The sequence below is a fragment of the Homo sapiens genome, chromosome 17, assembly GCF_000001405.40.
Source record: "Homo sapiens chromosome 17, GRCh38.p14 Primary Assembly".
Taxonomy (NCBI): domain Eukaryota; kingdom Metazoa; phylum Chordata; class Mammalia; order Primates; family Hominidae; genus Homo; species Homo sapiens.
In genome coordinates, this window is record NC_000017.11 from 6,814,818 (window position 1) to 6,832,075 (window position 17,258).

Here is a 17,258-nt window from a genome sequence, read left to right on the forward strand (position 1 = left end):
ACAGAGCAAGACTCTGTCTCAAAAAAAAAAGGGGGGGGGAAATTCACTTGCTCTTCCTACATTTTTAGATTATTTTACTTGTTAAAAACATGTATAGATGAAGGAATAAAATGTTTTATTCTTTAAAGGTTTAAAGGTTTTATGTCAGACTTTCTTAGTTAGTGAGCCTAACCTGGAGAATCAGGAGCCTCTGGGCCCAATGTCAAGGTCACCATTCAATGCTGCCTTTGCCCCAAGCCCACCACTTCCAAGCTCTCAGCCAGCTGCAAGGACGAGCCGCTAGGTCTTGCCTATCTGAGAAGCACTGGGTCACCCGCGAGGAGGAAGACGGCAAGGCCCACTCACTTTGGCTCAATCCTCACGGCGTTCTCAGAATATCTGATGTTTGGTGAGTTGTTGTTGAGCGAGAAGCAGATATCATCTATGGTCAGGGCCACAAACTTGTCCTTCAAATCCTTCTCAAGATTGTACTTGGCAGAGCGGTTCATCCTGAAGGGAGAAAGTAAACTGGGTTTCTGCCTCTGGAGTGCCCAGGTGGCACCCACGTCCTCAGAGAGGTCCTGGAAAGTGAAGCTGCAGCTAGGTCTGGTGCAGGATGATGGTACTGCCCCCCACCCATCACCCCAACACTCATGCGTATACCATTTGATGCCCGGTGACAAATCAACGTAACCAAATGTGGACTTGGAGATTCTCCCTTCTACTGTTACATTTTCCAGTGTCACCATTGCAGCCTACTATGTGTGAGGGGTCAGCCTCACCAGTGGGTTCCAGCGTCCTCCAGTTTATAACCAGGGTGAAATCCAGCTCCAGCCCCACCCTTACCAGAGGGCGGCTGCCATGTATGAGGGATGTGGCCAGCTCTTACCCTGAGTGCTGGGGCAATCTGGGGACACAAAGTGGGAGCGGGAATGTTGAACCCCTTTCTTTCTGTGCCATGGAGCCCAGCTTTTGTGGACACTGCCTTTTCTCAAAATTCCCAGTGGAGATTTGGAGGGCAGGCCGAAGAGTCATACCGAATCTGCTCGGAAGCCTCCTCCAAGGTACGGGTCAGCAGAGCCATAATGCCCTGGATGATCTCAGCCTCCTTTATCAGCTCATGCTCCACTGTGTCGTGCACCAGGTCAATGCCAATGCGCTTCTCCCTGGCAGGGGGAAAGGCAGCCAGTCAGCCAACACGTGCAACATGAGGTGACTCAACATTGGCTAATGGCTGCACACTCAGAACTATCTGCACGACTGATTTGAGTGTCACCCGATCCATCCGATGACACAGTGGGTGACAGATATTAGTTGGTGTCTATGTGACTTCAAAATATCCAAACACAATGAAGAAAAATTGATTGATGACTGGTCACTTGGTCTGAAACATGCCAAATGGACTTTTTTTTCTCTCTCTCTTTTTCTTTTCTTTGTATTTTTTTTAAATTATACTTTAAGTTCTAGGGTACATGTGCACAACGTGCAGGTTTGATACATAGGTATACATGTGCCACATTGGTTTGCTGCACCCATCAACTCATCATTTATATTATGTATTTCTCCTAATGCTATCCCTCCCCCAGCCCCCCACACCCTGACAGGCCCCGGTGTGTGATGTTCCCTGCCCTTTGTCTAAGTGTTCTCATTGTTCAATTCCCACCTATGAGTGAGAACATGCAGTGTTTGGTTTTCTGTCCTTGTGATAGTTTGCGCAGAATGATGGTCTCCAGCTGCATCCATGTCCCTGCAAAGGACATGAACTCTTCCTTTTTTATGGCTGCATAGTATTCCATGGTGTATATGTGCCACATTTTCTTAATCTAGTCTATTACTGATGGACATTTGGGTTGGTTCCAAGTCTTTGCTATTGTGAATAGTGCCACAATAAACAAACGTGTGCATATGTCTTTATAGTAGCATGATTTATAATCCTTTGGGTATATACCCAGTAATGGGATTGCTGGGTCAAATGGTAATTCTAGTTCTAGATCCTTGAGGAATCACCACACTGTCTTCCACAATGGTTGCACTAATTTACCCTCCCACCAACAGTGTAAAAGCATTCCTATTTCTCCACATCCTCTCCAGCATCTGTTGTTTCCTGACTTTTTAATGGTTGCCATTCTAACTAGCATGAGATGGTATCTCATTGTGGTTTTGATTTGCAGCCAGATGGACTTTTTTTCCCAAGAAGAGGAAAGTTTTAAATAATAATAATAAATTCAAAGACTTGTTTCCTTCCTTGATCCTCATTCAGTGTTTAGACAAACAATTGAACATAGAAAGATGTTTTAGGGTGGGCGCAGTGACTCACGCCTGTAATCCCAGCATTTTGGGAGGCTGAGGCAGGTGGATCGCCTGAGGTCGGGAGTTGGAGACCAGCCTGGCCAACATGGAGAAACCCCGTCTCTACTAAAAACACAAAATTAGCCAAGAGTGGTGGTGCATGCCTGTAATCCTAGCTACTCAGGAGGCTGAGGCAGGAGAATCATTTGAACCCGGGAGGTGGAGGTTTCGGTGGGCCGAGATTGCACCATTCCACTCCAGCCTGGGCAACAAGAGCGAAACTCCATCTCAAAAAAAATTTTAAAAGATGTTTATAGTAATAATAACTATTAATAATAATAACACCAATAGTAATATTGCCTCTGCCAGTGAGCACTTACTCCATGACAGGCATTGTGCTGAGCTTTATTAATATATAAACATTCTTTCTTAGCCCTTTCAAGTACAGATGGGGAAACTGAGTTTCAGAGAGACTAAGTGATCTACCCAGTGTCACAGAACTGTGTGCCACATGTGCTTCTAGCCAAGATGCCATCCTCCTCCCAAACTGACCCTGCTACACAACGTTTTGCTCTTTTTCAACCTGCATGATAGTGCTTGGAAAGGAGGTTCCCCTACTCACTAGCTGGGTGCCCTTAGCCACTATATAACCTACCTGTGCCTTGGTTTCCTTTTCTGTAAAATGGGGGTAATTATTAGTACTTCATAGGATTGTGGCACACTACAAATGAGCTATAAAAGCATAAGCTACAGTACCTGGCACATAGTACATGCTCAGTAAACTTAGCAGCCTCTACGTTATCATTATCCTCAGGCTTAGACTTGAGCCAACTGGGTGTTGAGCTCTTTGATGAGCTGCTATTTCTCTTTGCTTCATAGATTTCTAAATCTGGCTGGGGAGACTGCTGCCTGGTTCCTGCAACGGGTCCTGTTTAAGCTTATGGAAGGAACAGGGCTTTCCAGGAAGACAGGGGCATGGTGCATTTGAGAAACTGCAAGTAGCTCCACACACCTAAGCACATCCCACTACTGGGGACAAGATATGGATCCAGAGAGGTCACTGGGGGCCCTATCATGATGAACCTTGGTTTGCTAAGCTAAGAAGCTTAAAATTTATCTTGAAGCCATTGGGGTTTGAAGGATTCTAAGCATGGCGGTGACCGGGAAAAATCTGCATTTGGAAAAGTTCACTCAACAGCCAGTGTGCAGGGTGCACTAGATTATAGGGGACTATGCTAACAGCAAGAAGACCTGTTAGGGCACTCCAGCTAGGTCTGCGGCAGAACCCAGGTCTGGAAACCAGCATCACCCCAGAGTAGAAAGGATCATTCTATTCACTGGATTTATAGGAGGGAAATAATAATAAAAAGCACTATGTTCCTATAGTGCTGTCTGGATTACAAAGTGCTTCCGTGTGGCTCTGCATGGGAGAGACATACTGTCCCCTGGGAGCTGTAGTGTCTGTTCTCACCTTCTTCCTTGGCAACAGAACCCCTGGTTTTTTGGCTGAGCACCTGGCTGCCCAAAGTAAAACCAATCATTTCCCAGCATCTGTTGGTGTGGCCATGTGATTAAGTTCTGTCAATAGGATGCAAATAGAAATGATGAATGCCAGACCCCACTTACTCCTACTTGCTGGAATGTAGACATAATGGCTGGAGCTCCAGCTGCCAACTTAAACCACAAGGTAACATTAGGAGTGAAAGCCATGTGCAGTAGAACAAGAAGATAGAAAAAGCCTGGAACCCTAAAACTGTGGCCCACCATTCCAACCCTGGACTGACTATCTCTAGACTCTTTGAATGTAAGAGAGAAAGAAATCGTTTTCTTTAAATTCAATATTATTTTAAAGTTTTCTGCTACCCACAGCCAAACCTAGTCCTAACATATTTGAGTTGAGTTAGTCAAGAGCAGAGTTGAGGCATGAACCAAGTCCAGTGCCCCTTGCACTGCCCAGCACCAGGGGCATGCTGGGATAACTTCAGGCTCTAAAAGAACACCTGCTCAAGTGCTGTGTTCTAACTCACCATCGCACACAGCCGGCATTTACTACCCAGCATCTCATTTGTCACAACACATGAATCATTTGAGGGACCTTCGCTCCTACCTGTATGCCAGGCATGTCTCAGTGATGTGCAAGGGCTCTTTCAAGGTCTCCAGGGCTTTTTCCAATCTGATCTTATATATGAGTAGATCATCAGTTACATTCACAAGCTGCTCAAGTTTGTCATCTAACTCCTTCTTCCAGAACTGGACTTCCTCGAGTCTCTGTTCTGAAGCACACGGGGAAGTTACACCAGGGCTAATCTATCCCAAGGTAGCCAACATTTGAATTAGAAACTTGAAGACTGTTGTAAAACCACCTGTGACATGCTCTTTTCCTCTTAGTGCTGTGCTATTTGGGGCATCTTTTCATCTTTTTAAATGTTTATTTGCAGGAAGGAAGGAAGATATATTTTCTTACAGTCCACATCAGATTTATCATTCTACACCCACTAGTTCTTCAGTGCCCACTGTTTTTAATAACTTTTAATTTTATCAAAGATATAAATGTGTGTTGTTAGAAAAGTCAAATAGTATCACAAAGAATTAAAACTCTCTGACCTGTCCCCATCCATTTGAGACGGAGTCTCACTGTGTCACCCAGGCTGGAGTGCAGTGGTGCAATCTCTGCTCACTGCAAGCTCTGCCTCCCAGGTTCATGCCATTCTCCTGTCTCAACCTCCCGAGTAGCTGTGACTACAGGCATCCGCCACCACACCCGGCTAATTTTTTGTATTTTTTAGTAGAGACTGGGTTTCACCATGTTAGCCAGGATGGTCTCGATCTCCTGACCTCGTGATCCGCCTGCCTCGGCCTCCCAAAGTGCTGGGATTACAGGTGTCAGCCACTGCGCCAGGCCCCTTATCACTTCTGACATTTGCTTATACTGCTATTCACTCATTATCAGTTTTGATATTATATGTTGATTTCCTGTGATGAAAGATAATGATTTGCTCTTAACCAACTCACACAACATACTTCCGTCTCCCAATATAGTTGTATCACCATTTTGTTAAACAATAAATAAGTAAACTTACTATTTATTTACATTTTGTAAATATATAAATGTTATTTACACCTGAGCCCTATCATACACTGTAATAAATTTCTTTTCTTACAAAATTTTCTGTTTTGGGGAGGAGTTAAAATGGCATTTTTGCTTCACTTTCTTTTTTAAATGATAATTAAAGGCAGATTTATTAGTCACCATGAGTAAAAAATGACTGATTATACTAGGAAAACAATTAAATATATATATATTTAATTGATAATGAGTAGTTCAGCATTTGAATCTTAAAGTCATAATGTACTGGTTGTAGTGTCAGTTTCCACTTCTGTAAGCTGACTCTGTTTTAAAAAAAAATGTTATTGTATATATTTGAGGTTTACAACATGACATTATGAGATAGTAAAATGGGTAGCATAGTGATTCCTTCAGTTTCTTTATATTATTAATTTTTTCTCAATATGCCCTCAATATATTCCAACCCATCAAGTAAGCTATCAATTTTCTTTCCTCCTTGGAGATGTCTCTCCTAGAGCATCTTCTCCTCCTGCTGGATGAGTTGCTCTCTAGTTTGCTGTGTAGCTGTCATCCTATGACTTTGCTTCCAGGAATCCCCTTCACTCTTCTCCTGTTGCTGTCCCGTTTCCTGGATTGTATTTCTTCCTCTTCCTTGATTTACTCTTTCAGTATGCTGAAGCATATCCTTCAGTAACTTCCTAAGAAATGGATGCATGTGAGGTAAAGTTTTTGAAAACCTGCAAGTCTGCAAATGTCTTTATTCTACCCTCGACATTTCATTCTATTTGGCTGTGCCCTGAGTTACAGTTTGTAACTCTTTTTTATTTGGAATTGTGATTGTGTCCCTCCATTTCCTTCTAATTTCCAGAGTTTCTGTTGAAAAGTCTGATGCCACTCTGATTCCTGATTCTTTGTATATGACCTGTTTTTTCCACTCTGAAAAATTTTAGTAATCTATTTTCCTAGGGTCCTGAAATTTCACACTGGTGTCAAACTTATTTAATTGTTGTGTCACATGCCAGATATACCCTTTGATATGGTTTGGCTCTGTGTCCCCACCCAAATCTCATCTCCAGCTGTTATCCTCACCTGTTGAGGGAAGGACTTGGTGGGAGATAATTGGATCATTGAGGCAGTTTCCCCCATGCTGCTCTCCTGATAGTGAGTGAGCTCTCTTGAGATCTGATAGTTTTATAAGGGTCTCTTCCCCCTTCATTTTCTCTTCTCTCTCCTGCCACCATGTGAAGAAGGTCCTTGTTTTCTCTTAGCCTTCCACCATGATTATAAGTTTCCTGAGGTCTCCCTAGCCATGTGGAACTGTGGGTCGATTAAACCTCTTTCCTTTATAAATTATCCAGTCTCAGGTATTTCTTTATAGCAGTGTGAAAATTGACTGATACAGAGAATTAGTACTGGAAGTGAGGCACTGCTATAAAGATAACCTGGAAATGTGGTAGTGACTTTGGAGCTGGGTTAACAGGCAGAGGTTGGGACAGTGTGGAGGGCTCAGAAGAAGACAGAAAGTTTTGGGAAAGTTTGGAACTTCCTAGAGACTTGTTGAATGGTTTCGATCAAAATGTTGACAGTGATATGGACAATGAAGTCCTGCTGAGGTAGTCTCAGATGGAGATAAGGAACTTATTGGGAACTGAAGCAAAGTTCACTCTTCTTATGCTTTAGCAAAGAGACTGGCAGCATTTTGCCCCTGCCCTAGAGATCTGTGGAACTTTGAATTTGAGAGAGATTATCTGAAATTGGAACTTATGTTTAAAAGGGATGCTCTGCTTCCCCCATTTTGGGGGAAGGAATTCAAGCCAGCTACAGAAATTTGCATAAGTAACAAGAAGCCGAATGCTAATTGCCAAGACAATGGGGAAAATGTCTCCAGGGCATGTCAGAGATCTTCACAGCAGCCCCTCTCATCACAGACCAAGAGGCCTAGGAGAAAAAAATGCTTCCTGGGCCAGGCCTAGGGCCCTGCTTCCTCATCTTCTTCTTTTTAGAGACAGGATCTCACTCTGTCACCCAGGCTGGAGTGCAGTGGCACAACCATAGCTCACTGTAACTTTGAACTCCTGGGCTCAGGAGATCCTCCCACCTCAGCCTCCTGGGTAGCTGAGACTACAGGTACACACCACCACACCCACCTAATTTTCTTATTTTTGTAGAGGCAAGGGTCTCTCTGTGTTGCCAAGGCTGGTCTCAAACTCCTGGTCTCAACTGATCTTCCTATTTTGGCTTCCCAAAGTGCTGGGATTCCAGGTGTGAGCCACCATAACTTCTCCATTTTCTCTATGCTCTTTCTGAAACTCCTATTAGTTATTGAGCCTCCCAGACTGATCCTCTAATTTTCTTGTCTTTTCTTTGCTGTTATTTTGTTGTCCTTTTTTCCCACTTTCTGGATATTCTCAACACTTCTTTTGATTTTTAAGATTTTTCTGCTCTTATATTCTTAATTTCTAAGAACGCTTGTTCTCCAAATGTTCTCTTTTTTAAAGACTCCTCTGCATGTTCCAAGGATGCAATCTCTTCTCTAAATTCTTGATGGATTTGATAGTGTATGTCTTCTTTTTCTCTATGCACTATCTGTCTCCTGAGTTTCTGTGTCTTTGATTATTTGTTTTGGTGTCTGCCATGTTATTGGCTTTCCTCAATTATTTGGTGATCATCTGATTTAGACTGAGATGCTAAAGTGCTACCTGGAAATGCTGTCTAGAGGGACAGTGCTTGTCAACCAGAATGCTTTATCATACAGAGTGATCAGTTGAGACCCTGGCATCTCACAGGAGAATCCTCAAATGTTAATATTTATGGATCTTTCCTTTCGGGGCCAGTTACTTTCTACTTTCTCCACAGAAAAGTCCTCCAGTCTCCTGTCTGAGGGTAGAAGCCTGGCTACCAGTGTCTTAGGAAACAGCTGGAAGAATTACTATGTAGACATAGAAATGAATGAATCACCAAGTAGACATTCATTGAACCTTTTAACCTTTAACCTTCTGCTGGGGTGAGGGAGAGCCAGAGTGAAGAGGAAGCTCTTTATAAAGACTTTCAACCAATCTTGTTTCTGGTTCTATCCTGACCCTCCAGCTTCAGAAGTAACTGGATGCATCCAGTTTTGAGCATTACAAGATTTCTGCAGCATGAATCAGCTGGCTTCTTATTGTTCTCTACCCAGCCTGATTTTCTGCAGTCCCTAGGTTTGTTACCAGCTGACCTTTGCTTTCTAAAATCTTGATTTCATTATTTGTCTACTGTTGCTTCCTCTCTAACTCTCTGTGTGTGTGTATGTGTGCACACGCATGTGCTTGCCTGTGTATGCATCTCAATCTCTCTCATGCTTGGGGCATAGCTTTATTATTATTTTGTTAGCTTTACTGTTATTAATTCTTTACTGCTATTTTGTTGGAATTCTAAAAGGAAGAGAAGACAAATGCATGTGCTTAATCCACCATGTAGATGGGCATCTTCCCATTGACACCTTGTAACTGATTTTCACCTCTACTGTGTACCCTCCACTATCCTACTGGACATCTCTTATCTCAAAGGTCACCAATAATCTTTAAGTCACTAGTCCAAATTTATTTTGGCTCAGCTCTCAGTCTCTTAGACATTTAGACAACCACTGATACAATAGAAGACTTCCTCGCCTGTGAAACCTCATCCTTTTTTTTTTTTTTTTTTTTTTTTTGAGACAGAGTCTCACTCTTTCACCCAGGCCGGACTGCAGTGGCGCTATCTCGGCTCACTGCAAGCTCCGCCTCCCAGGTTCACACCATTCTCCTGCCTCAGCCTCCCAAGTAGCTGGGACTACAGGTGCCCACCACCATGCCTGGCTAATTTTTTGTATTTTTAGTAGAGACGAGGTCTCACCGTGTTAGCCAGGATGGTCTTGATCTCCTGATCTCGTGATCTGCCCACATCGGCCTCCCAAAGTGCTGGGATTACAGGCGTGAGCCACTGCGCCCAGCCAAAACCTCATCTTTTGGCTTTCATAACCTTGGTCTCATCTGTTTATTCTTCCACCTGAACTTATGTTCCTCAGCTCTTCTCTTGGTCCTCTTCAACTCATGTGCCCTTTTCTTCTCTTTTGATACATTCTTTGGGTAGTCTAATCTACCCTTATGGCTCCCCTTACCCATCTTTATGTGATTTCTGGCGTTACTTCTTAAATTCTAACAGGCTACCCAATGAACTGAACATTCCAAAATCAAGGTCTTCCTCAGGCTTGGCCCTGCTTCATCTCCCTCTCATCTTCATCATGCTGCTCTTCCTCACGTACTCTACACATTAACTTGGACCTCTCTACTCATTCCCCATAAATGTCCCACTCATCCTGCCTTTATTATTTTGTCCAAGCTATCTCCTTGACTTTTGTTGTTAAAATTCATTCATAAATCCAACATACATATTATCGAGCACCTTTTCTCTCCATCTTTACTGCCATTGCCTTCATCTAGGCCAGCAACTTACAATAATTTTAGTTACTTGCCTTTTTACTTGTGTTGTGTCTCTTTTACATAGTAGAATGTATCAGTCTTTTTCAATTTTATACTCCTAAGCATCTAGCACAGGGTCAGACCTATTTGAAGAGTGAATGAATTAATGAATGAACGAGCTCTGATCCCATTAACCAGGATAGGGAACTACAGAAGCAGAAGCAAGTTTTGAAGGACAATGATGAGTTCATCTTGGGACATACTTATTTTGAGGTGCCTGAAGGAATCTAGGTGGCAATATATAGCAAGTAGTTCTCTATTTTCCCAAAGAGTTCTCATGAGAAATTAGAGCTGAAGATTTCTATTTGCAAACCAATAACACAAAGAAAATAGTGATAAAATTTCTAATGAGGTCATCAAGAAAGATTGCTTAGAGAGAAGAGAAGAAAAAGCTAAGAAGATGAAGAACAAAACGCTAAAGAACACCAATAGGAAATGAATGGGGAAAGAAGCATCCATAATAGAGAAGAGGAAGAAATGGCCAGAGAGAAAGGAAATTTTAATCAGGAAAAATTTGTGCCATAGAATTCTAAAAGTAACTGGACACATCCAGTTTTGAGCATCCAGTATTGTAGAGAGATCAAGTTGGATGAAGACTAAGTGATCATTAGATTGGAAAATTGAGTAGTCATTGGATGTGACCAATTGGAAGTGATGTGCCCTCTCCTCCAATCTGACGGTGCTTTATTGGTGCCTCTTATGGGATGAAGCACACCGTATCCTGGGTATCCTGTACTGGACTCATCTCTACTTTCAGACTGCAAGCTCCCCAAGGGCAAACACCAGTCTGGTGTGTCTATATCATCAGCACCAGCACAGGTACTTGCAAGTTATTTTTAACTTTTTATTGAAATATCAAAAACCTATAGAAGAGTACACATATCATAAAATTCAATGTATTTTCATAGTGAACACACACATATAAGACCCAGCTCAAGAAACAGAATATAACTGGCATCCCAGGAGGTCTCTCATGACCCCTTCCAGTTCTATCATTCCACACACCAAGGTATAGATTCATTTTTCATTTTATTTGGTTTGTTTTACTTTACATAAATAGAATAATATGGCATGTACTCATCTGTGTGTCATTTATTGTACTCAGCATCTTACTAAGTTTGTAAGATTCATCAGTAGTGTTGTATATAGCTGTAGGCCACTCATTCTCTTTGCTGTGAGGTATAGCATATTTATCCATCCTACTGTTGATAAGCATGTGGGTAGTTTCCAGTTGGGGCCATTACAAATGGCCCTCCTTTGGCCATTGCAGCATATATCTTTGGTAAACATATATTCCCGTATGATAAAACTCTAAAGGTAGAATAACCAGGTGAAAAGTATGCATGTCTTCAACTGTAGTCAATACTGCCAAAGCTTTCCAAAGTGATTACAGCAATTTGTATTTCCACCAGCAGAATATGACAGTAACAGTTGCTCCACATCCTCTTTCCTCTCCTTTCTTCTTGTTCTCTTCCTTCTTTTTAATTGTAGCCATTCCATGGCTGTATAATGGCATCTCAACTTGATTTTAATTTGTATGTCCCTGATGACTCATAAAATTAGAGCACCTCTTTACATGTTCGTCGGCTGTTTGAATGTCCTCGCTTGTAAGGTGTCTGTCAAGATTTGTCCATTTGTTTATTGAGTTATCTGCCTTTTTCTTTTGTATTCTTAAAAGTTATTTATATATTTTGGATATGGATTTGTCAGATATATATATTGCAAATATCTTTTCCTACTCTTTAGATTGCTGTTCAGCCTTTTGATGAGGTATTTTTGTTAAACAAAAGTTCTTCATTTTAATATAGTCTAATTTATTGTTTTTCTTTTCTATGAATGCTTCTTTTCAGGCCTGCTTAAGAATAAGAAATCTTTGCCTTCGACAAGTCATAAAGATCATAAATATATTCTCCCATAAGTGTCATTGTTTCACCTTTCCCATTTAGATATGCACTCCACTTAGATTTGCAGATAGATAGATAGATAGATAGATAGATAGATAGATAGATAGATAGATAGATAATACGAGGTAGGGGTTGGGATTATTATTATTTTTTTTTTTTTTGCGACGGAGTCTTGCTCTGTCACCCAGGCTGGAGTGCAGTGGCACTATCTCACGTCACTGCAAGTTCCGCCTCCTGAGTTCACGCCATTCTCCTGCCTCAGCCTCCCGAGTAGCTGGGACTACAGGCACCCGCCACCACGCCCAGCTAATTTTTAGTGTTTTTAGTAGAGATGGAGTTTCACCATGCTAGCCAGGATGGTCTCGCTGTCCTGACCTCGTGATCTGCCCGCCTTGGCCTCCCAAAGTGCTGTGATTACAGGTGTAAGCCACGGCGCCTGGCCAAGATATCATTTTTTATATGAATATCTAATTGGGCAATTCATTGAAAAGGCTTTCTTTTGCCCATTACACTGTAGTGTTGCTTTGTCATACTCAGATGAATGAATGTATGTGGGTTTGTTTCTGGACTCTGCCATGTTTCATTGGTCAACAGGTCTATCCTCACTTATACTTTGCTGTCTCAATTACCATAGCTTTGTCACAGCTCTCAGTACCTACGGTAGAAGTCTTCCAACTGTGTTCTTCTTTAAGATAGTTGTGCCAATTTTTTTTTTTTTTTTTTTTTGAGATGGAGTCTCGCTCTTGTCGCCCGGGCTGGAGTGCAGTGGCGTGATCTCGGCTCACTGCAACCTCCGCCTCCCGGGTTCAAGCGATTCTCCTACCTCAGCCTCCTGAGTAGCTGGGATTACAGGCACCCACCACCATGCCCAGCTAATTTTTTTGTACTTTTAGTAGAGACAGGGTTTCACCATGTTGGCCAGGCTGGTCTTGAACTCCTGACCTCAGGTGATCCACCCACCTCGGCCTCCCAAAGTGCTGGGAGCCAGGCATGAGCCACCACACTCAGCCTCGTGCCTATTCTTGACCTTTTGCATTTCCATATGAATTTTAGAAGCAGTTTGCCAATTTCACCATAAAACCTGCTGAGATTTTCATTGGCATTGCATTGAATATATAGATTAATTTTTGAAGGGAATCAACACTTTTAAATACTAGGTTTTCCAATCCATTAACTCATAAATCCCTGCATTTACTAAGAATTTCTTTAATTTCTTGAAAAAATGATTTTTCAGTGCAAAACACTTGCACATCTTTTGCTAGATTTATTCCTACATATTTGATGCTTTTAATGCCTAATGGCTAATTTTAAAATGATTCCATGAATCAATGAAGGTTCACTTTTTCCCCGTATCTACTGAAACAGAGTATTGTGAAAATGAATAATGATTTCTCTTCTTTTTTTTGTTTTGAGACAGAGTCTCACCCTGTCACCCAGGCTGGAGTGCAGTGGCACGATCTCGGCTCACTGCAACCTCCACCTCCTTGGTTCAAGCGATTCTCCTGCCTCAGCCTCCTGAGTAACCGGGACTACAGATGCATGCCACCATGCCCCACTAATTTTTTGTATTTTTAGTAAAGACAGGGTTTCACCATGTTAGCCAGGATGGTCTCAATCTCCTGACCTTGTGATCCGCCCACGTTGGCCTCCCAAAGTGCTGGAATCACAGGCGTGAGCCACCATGCCCGGGCGCCTTCTCATTTTTAACACCTACCTATTTGCACAATTATTTAGAACAGGCCTATCTACAGGGTGGTATCAATGTAAGGGTCAACCTATTAGGAGAGCCTAACATCTAACATTGCTGACCTGAATGAAGGTTTCATTTACTGGAAATTAGAAAACTACAGTCCTCAGACCAGGTTTGATCCATAAACGTGTTTGTTCAGCTGGCCCAGTGTTATAAATAAATTAAGTCAGTTACCAACATTTAAAACGTGAATAAATTCCTGCTTTCCAGATTTTCTTGAAAAAATCGGACAATCAGGCAACACTGGGCTCATGTTCTTTCTTGGAAGCAATGGGTTGAAACTGAGTAGCAGCTTCCTCCTTAGATGGGGCACACGTTCTCCAGGTCCCCACAGTCCCTACTAAACCCTAATGCCTTACATTCAATCCCTATGCTACCTGCTTGGTCCCTATAGATAGTCGAGTTGGTTACCCCTGGTTAATCCCTTTTTGGCATTTAGCCGACGTTGGTTGTTTGTTTTGTTTTATGTTTATTTTTGTTTTGATTATTTAAGGATACTATCTTTTTTTTTAAATGTGCTTTCCTGAGATCTTTGCTAAAGAACGCTACCTTTTAAATACTGTTTTAGGCAGGGTGCGGTGGCTCGTGCCTGTAATCCCAGACTTTGGGAGGCTGAGGCGGGCGGACCACCTGAGGTCAGGAGTTCAAGACCAGCCTGGCCAACATGATGAAACCCCGTCTCTACCAAAAATACAAAAATTAGCCGGGTGTGATGGTGCACGCCTGTAATCCCAGCTACTCAGGAGGCTGAGGCAGGAGAAGCGCTCGAACCTGGAAGGCAGAGATTGCAGTGAGCTGAGATTGTGCCACTGTACTCTGGCCTGTGTGATGGAGCGAGACTCTGTCTCAAGAAATTTAAGTAAATACTGTTTTAAGTAAGGAATTGTCAAGAGAAAATGACTCCTTTTAAGACTCAAGTAAATGTTCTTCTCTAGAAAAACTTTTCCAATTTTTCACATCTACTCCGCCCCGTCTTTGTTCCCCTACCCCAGCACCTATCTGGTTATACACCTGTCCCTTGGTATCCTCAGAGGATTTGTTCCAGAGTCCCTGACAGACACCAAAATCCATGGATGCTCAAGTCTTTTATACAAAATGGTGTAGTGTTTTCATATAACCTATGCACATCTTCCCATATACTTTCCTTTTCTCTTTCTTTTCTTTCTCTTTCTTTCTTTCTTTCTCTCTTTCATTCTTCCTTTCTTTTTCTTTCTTTTTTTTTTTTTTATGAAACAGGGTCTTGGTATATCACCCAGGGTGGTCTCTAACTCCTGGGCTTACAGGATCCTACTGCCTCAGCCCTCCAAGTAGCTGGGACTAACAGCACATGCTACCACACCCAGCCAGTATACTTTAAATCATCTTCAGATTACTTATAATACCTAATACAATGCAAATACTATGTAAATAGCTGTTGAACTGTATTGTTTTTATTTGTATTCTTTAATTGTTGTAATCTTTTATTGTTTTTTTTTCCTAAGTATTTTGGACCTACAACTGGCTGAACCCATGGATACAAAGGGCTGACTGTATTCTGATGATTAATTTTTGTATCTTTATCCTCTTCAAGTTAGAAGCCCCTAAAAAGCAGAGATTCTGATCATTCCCTGTGATATGCCTAGTGTGTAGTACATAGATGCCCATAGATGCTCAATAACTGTGCATCAAATCAACAAATAAATGAATGATGGGTGGCTGAAAATCAGGCTGGGTTACCTTGTGTCTATCTTAGGGCAGTGAACTTAAACATAGAACCTGGAGAATACACATGATTTTCTCTAATATTCAAAAATAATATGTTGCCACATCTGAACATGACACTATAGCTAAACTCAACAGCCTCATCCTAGCATGTTCACGAATATGCCAAGCATGTTGTCTTACCTAGTTTCTTGTTCACATCGCTTTGAGATTTTCTTGTGGTCTTTTCAATTTCATCCACAAGCCTCTGGCTTTCTGCGACCAGGCGTTCTGATCGGGACCTTTGAGCGTCTGCTCTGTGGTACTGGTTCTTGTTAGCAATGTGCCACTCTGAGGGCAGGAACTTGGGTGGAGGTTGTAATAGTTTAGCCATTTGAGGTTTCCAAATTCCTGATCAAAAGCAGACTCTTTTAGATTAAATGAAAGCAATTTGTCCTTTTTTATGATAATTTTTATTCAAGGATGACATATATACGGAAAATTGCATAAATCATAATCTGTACACAAAATAAATCTATCTGTGTAGCCGGCACCCAAACCAAGAAACAAGCATTACCAGCATCTCTAACCTCCTCCCAGTTACTCCACCTCAAGCCCCTCAGGGTAACCAGTATCCTGACTTTTAACACTACAAATTCGTTTTGCTGTTTTTGAATTTAACATAAATGGAATAATACAGTATGTATTATTCTGTCTCTGACTTCTTTAGCTCAACATTATGTTTGTAAAATTCATCCATATTGTCTATATGATTGCAGTTTGTTCGTTCTCGTTGCTGTGTAGGTGCCGTTATATGAATAAAATCTAGCTGTCTTTTCTACTGTTTATGGATATTTGGGTTGTTTACACTCCAGGGCCATAATGAGAATGCTATTAATAGTCTCATACATGTCTTTTGGTGAACACGTGTATGCATTTTTATAACTCATTAGAATTGTTGGGTCATGGAGTAATGTTCTGCCAAACAGATGAGCCCAGAGATGTTTTCTTAAAAAAAGAAGAAGAAAAAGAAGAGGAAGAAGAAGGAGGAGGAGGAGGAGGAGGAGGAGGAAATGTAACATGTGTAAACTGACAACTGGGTATTGAACTTGTTCAACACATAAAAGAATCTGAAAACTTCCAGGACAAAGAAAAGGAGAGAACAGGAAGGGGAACAACACAGGGGAAGCCAGCTGGCAGAGGCTGTCGGCAGTGGAAACGCTAAAATTACCCATTTCATCTTCATACAACTCTGATGGACCATGAGAACTGCCTTCCTCAGACAGGGCTGAAATCTGCCCCCACTCCCATCTCTACCCTAAGGTCTGAGTCCCTGCTCTTAGGGGCCTCTGGATCTCTGAAGCCTTCACATATATAAGGATGAAACTAGAGTCAGATCTTGACTAGGCTGAGAACCTCAGCCCACCCAGCCCCCTCAGACAACATGGAGTTTCTCCGTTTCTTCCTAGCCCAGTCCCTTTTATGGCTTCTACCGAATTTATCTGAGTGTGGAGCCCAGCATTTAACCCAAGGCTCCTGGATAAGTCTGAATAGCCCCCAGAGAGGTGGGGACCTAAATTAGGGCTCATCCCAACGTCATAAGGATTTGGTTAGGCGGGGAGGGTTGCGGGTAGGGGTCGGTGGGGTGGGGTCATGGTTTACTTACCTCAGCGCCACACAGAACCACTACGCAAGCTCGGGATGGGAGCCTCCTTACCCCAACTGGAGCTTCCAGCTCTTGCAGAACAGAGAGGTAAACAACGCGGTCTCCATGACAACAAGTGACGCGTTGCCAGGGCAAAGAGGGCTGGTTCCGCCACTGAGCAGCCTGGCCAAAGGCTTAGCGCAGGCGCAAATTCTGCGGACCCCAGAGCCAGAGACCCAGGAGTGTGGCGTGTGGGAAGGGTAGGGCCAGATGCTCCGGCCACCTCAACCTACCGCGAAGACGCGGGGCACCAAGCAGAAGACAGCGGCCAAAGCCCCGAGCTGGGAGTCAGGAGACCTGCGTCTAGTCCGAGCCCTCCCGCGGGCGGGATCATCTCGGGTCGCGCTGTACCCCGGCTCTCAGACTTCCCGGCTGTACAGTGGGGTTG

The 17,258-nt window shown here is 42.6% G+C and overlaps 1 protein-coding gene across 2 annotated transcripts in view, besides 1 other annotated feature; it reads right to left on the bottom strand.

Moving 5' to 3' along the window:
* TEKT1 (tektin 1) overlaps window positions 1-16,912 on the bottom strand; it is a 33,737-nt gene extending 16,825 nt beyond the window's left edge. For both annotated transcript variants that reach the window (XM_011524027.4, NM_053285.2), the window contains exons 1-5: window positions 16,832-16,912; window positions 15,370-15,576; window positions 4,376-4,541; window positions 1,017-1,145; window positions 346-489 (exon numbers count right to left, since the gene is read on the bottom strand). In XM_011524027.4, coding sequence (XP_011522329.1) covers window positions 346-489; window positions 1,017-1,145; window positions 4,376-4,541; window positions 15,370-15,559 — 629 coding nt within the window. In that variant the 5' untranslated portion in view covers window positions 15,560-15,576; window positions 16,832-16,912. The remainder of the gene's footprint in view (window positions 1-345; window positions 490-1,016; window positions 1,146-4,375; window positions 4,542-15,369; window positions 15,577-16,831) is intronic.
* Window positions 16,875-16,924: a silencer, noted in NCBI's record as "silent region_8079". NCBI's record gives its function as "represses an Ori minimal core promoter by ATAC-STARR-seq in GM12878 lymphoblastoid cells {active_cell/tissue: GM12878}" and the evidence as "EXISTENCE:reporter gene assay evidence [ECO:0000049][PMID:35858748]".